This window comes from Homo sapiens, chromosome 2 (assembly GCF_000001405.40).
Source record: "Homo sapiens chromosome 2, GRCh38.p14 Primary Assembly".
Classification (NCBI taxonomy): domain Eukaryota; kingdom Metazoa; phylum Chordata; class Mammalia; order Primates; family Hominidae; genus Homo; species Homo sapiens.
In genome coordinates, this window is record NC_000002.12 from 65,702,538 (window position 1) to 65,707,370 (window position 4,833).

Here is a 4,833-nt window from a genome sequence, read left to right on the forward strand (position 1 = left end):
ATTAAGAAAGAATATTGTCAGCTTCATTTCAGAGTTATTCCCAATTGAATACCATAAGGGAGGGGTAGGTTAATCATGAAGGTGCATCTAAATGGTGCCTTCTGCCTCTTAGAAGTCTGGGATAAGTAGTTTGTGGGTTATTAGACATCCTGCTTATCCGTTGAAGTTGTAGAAGGTCTTACCTGTTTTCCTAAAATCACTGCCCCTAGACATCACCTTGCCTAATGACTCTTCAACAGGCATTTCTGCCCCTGACCAGCGCTAATGAGATGTCAGATGAGACTCATTTAGAATGATTTTAGAAAATCCAGAGAATACAGCTCAGAAATATCTTTCTCAATGCTTTGTTGCTATGACAGAAATCATCCCAGTAGCAATCCTTTAGGTTATGTTAGAAGTTATGAACACCTTTAAGGTGAATAACAGTATGGCCCAGAAGGTGTTCCTTGACCCTATCATAGGAGTGCTAGGCCATCAAGGATCAGATAAAATTAAATAAGACCCTCACGTGTCCTTCCAAGTCCTGGATCCTGACACTTCTTGAGCTTCTTGGCTAGTTTCTGACTTCATTGTTGATTGAGACTCTGACTATTGGCTATTCCATTTGGCTTTTGACCTCTCCCAGCCTACTGGTTGGAATTAATTTTGGCTTTGCTTGATTGACTCATCTGCTGTCTCCTGGACTGACTTTGATGTGTGGCTGTGTCTCTTCTGGCACCTACCTTCAGCAAGTCTCAGCCTTGGGTTTTACCACATCTTGCCTGTGCTCAGGACCTTGGTGTAAAGTGCCAATAATCCTCAAGGGAGTGGCTCCCCTACTTTAAACCCTTTAAAGGGATTGGCTTCCAAAAGGCAAAGTATTAGATCCTTGGGTAGAGAGTGGGACTGGGATGATAGATGGGGGACAGGATATTGAATAGTTGGGGACTTCAACATTTTACTTTCAGCAATTGATAGAACTAGTAGACAGAAGATCAGCAAGGATACAGAAGAACTGAAAAATATCATCAAACAATAGGATCGAATTGACATTTATAAAATACCTCACCCAACAAGAGTAGAATTTGCATTCTTTTTAAGTACCCACAAAACAGTCACCAAGATAGACTATATCCTGGATCATAAAACCAGCTAAAATGTTTTAAAGGATTGAAATTGTACAGAATATATTCCTGGAGCATAATGAAATCAAACTAGAAATTGATAGTGGAAAGACAATGGGAATCCATAGATCAGAGAAGAAACCTTAAAGGAAATAAAAAATACAACCAAATAAAAAGGAAAAACAACAACAACATAATCAATATTTGTGAGATGCAGTGTTGACAGGAAATTTATAACACCAACTATTTATGTAAAAAAGATAAAAGATTTTGAATCAATAACCTAAGTTCTCATTCCAAGAAACTGGAAAAAGGAGAGCAAAACAAGCCCAAAGCAAATCGAAGGAATGAAATAATAAAGAACAGAAATCAGTAACACTGAAAACTGGAAAACAATACAAAAAAGTAATGAAACAAAAAACTAGTTATTCAAAAGAAATTAATAAAATTGATAAATCTCAAGCAAGATTGACAAAGATTATAAAAGAGAAAATATACAAATAACCAATATCAGGCATGAAACAGAGGCTATCACAACAGATCCTGTAGCTGTTGAAGGGATAATAGGGGAATATTATGAAGAAATTTATGCTCAGAAATGAGAAACTTAGAAGAAATAGACCAATTCCTTAAAAACCACAAGTTACTGAAACTCAGCCAAGATTAAATGGGTAACATAAATTGTTGTATAACTATTTAAAAATTAAATTTGTAATTAAATAACTACTGAAAAAAATTTCCAGGCCTAGATGGAAGGATTTTACTGGAGGATCTTTATCAAATGTTCAAGGAAGAATTAATACCAATTTTATACAGTTTCCCACAGAAAATAGAAGAGGAGGGAACATCATTCAACTCATTTTGTGAGGTGAGTATTAATTACTGTTGTTCCAAAACCAGGCAAACACAACAGAGAAAAAGAAAACTATAGACTAATATCTCTCAGAAACTTAAATGCAAAAATATTCAAAATATTCAACATAATTTTAGCAAATCAAATCCAGCAATGATTAAAAACAGTAATAGACTATGACCAAGTGGGATTTATTCCAGGTATACAAGGTTGATTCAATATTTAAAAATGAATCAACATAATTTACCATTTCAACATCATTGATAATGTCACTTGGGGCAGAAAACAAATTTAACACAATTTTATTCCTATTTATAACAAAGACTCTCAGTACATTATGAATAGATGAGAACTTCCTCAAGCTCATAAACAGCATCTAGAAAAAATGCAGCTAACATTGTATTTAATGTTGAAGAACTAAATGCTTTCCCTCTGAGACTGGGAACAAAGCAAGAATGTCTGCACTCACTGGTCTTATTAACATAGTATTAGTACTTCTAGCCACTGGAACAAGGCAAGAAAAAGAAAGAAAAGGCATTCAGATTGGAAAAGAAGAGAGAAAACTGTATACACACACACACACACACACACACACACACACACAATGCAGGTGTAAGTGGCAAAATCTGAATAAGCTCTATGATTTGTGTTGTGTCAATTTCCTGGTTTTGATATTGCACTGTAGTACAATAGTTCAGCAAGATGTTAACATTGGAATGGTGGCATGGGGGCTAGGTGAAGGGTGCCCAAGACCTGCTTGTACATTTCTTCTATTTTCAGATAACGTAATTGTGTATATAGAAAAGTCCCCCCAAATCTATGAAAAAACTTCTAGAAATAAATGAGTTTAACAACGTTGAAGGATACAAGATCAACACACAAAACTCAATTGCATTGCTATATACTAACAATGAACTAAAATTTAAAAAAGCTATTTACAAATGCTGCAAAAAGAGAGACACTTAGGCACAAAATATGGGCAAGATCTGTACGCTGAAAATGACAAAATGCCGATGAAAGAAATGAAAGACCTAAATATTTGCAGACATGTCACAGATTAGAAGACTCAACATAGTAAAGATGTCAATTCTCTCTAAATTGATCTATAGGTATAATGTTTTTACTATTAAAGCCTGCTAAAATTCACATGAAAAAGGAGAGGCACTGTAATAGCCAGAATAAATTTGAGAAAGAAGAAGAAAGTGGGAGAAATTATTATTTTAATGTTAAGGTTTATTATATAGTTATAATAATCAAGGCAGTGTGGTATTTACAGAAGGATAGACACATGAATCAATGGAACAGAATAGGGAACTCACAAACAAATCCACACAAATATACCCAGTTAATTGCTGACAAAGGAGCCGAAGCAATTTAATCGAGGAGAAATAGCCTTTTCAGTAAATGGTGCTGGGGCAATTGGATATCCACAGGCAAAAAACTGGATGTCAACCAAAATCTCACACCTTGTGCAAAATTGACTCAAAATGGATCATGGATTTAAATGTGAAACCCTGAACTATACAATTTCTAGAAAAAAATAAGAGGAAATCCTTGTGAACTCAGAGTAGACAAAAGGTTTATAGACTTGACACCAAAAGCATAGTCCATAAAATAAAATATTGATAAATTGAACCTCATTGAAATTTAAAACTTTTTGCTTTGCAAAAGACCATTTTAAGAGGATAAAAAGGCAAATTACAGACTGGGAAAACCTTTGCAAATCATGTATCTGACAAAGGACTTGTATCTAGAATATACAAAGAACTCTCAAAATTGAACATTAAAAAACCAACAATCTATTTAGAAAATGGGAAAAAGACATGAACAGACATTTTTGAAGAGGATGTACAGATGATAAGCACATGAAAAATGTTCATCATCATTAGGCATTAGAGAAATGCAATTTTAAACCACAGTGAGATACATCTCTCAGATGTCTAAAATAAAAAATAGTAATAACTTCAAGTGCTGGCCAAGTTGTGGAGAAATGCAATCATTCATACATTGTTAATGGGAATGTAAGATTATACAATCATTCTGGAAAATAGTTTGGCAGTGGCTTAAGAAATTAAACATGCAACTACCATGCAACTCAGCAATTCTTCTCCTTGGGCATTTATCCCAGAGAAAGGAAACTTATATTCACTCGGAAACTTGTATAGTAATGTTCATAGCAGCTTTATTAATAGCCCCAAATGGGAAACCACACAAATGTCCTTCAATGGGTGGCTGGTAAAACAAACTGTGGTACATTATACCATAGAATTCAACTTAAAAAGGAAAGAGCTATTGACACATGCAACAACTTGGATGAATCTCAGGGAAATTATGCTCAAGGAAAAAAGCCATTTGCAAAAGGATACATACTACATAATTCCATTTATAAAACATTTGCGAAATAACATAATTATAGAGATGGAGTGGTTGCCAAGAATTAGAGATATAGTAGGGTCAGGGGGGTGCAGTAGACATGGATATAAAGGGGTAGCACAAAGGAGTCTTGTGGTGATGCAATAATTCTGTATCTTCATTGCATTGGTGGTTATATAAAGCTACCATGTGATAAAATTGCACAGAGCTACACACACACACACACACACACACACACACACACACACACACAGACAGACACAGACACATACAATGCAGGTATAACTGGTGAAATCTGAATGAGCTCTGTGATTTGTGTTGTGTCAATTTCCTGGTTTTGATATTGCACTGTAGTACAATAGTTCAGCAAGATGTTAACATTGGAATGGAGGCATGGGGGGCTAGGTGAAGGGTGTCCAAGACCTGCTTGTACATTTCTCTACAACTTCCTGTGAATCTATAATTATCTTAAAATAAAAAATCATAAGAAAATCCAATAATCCT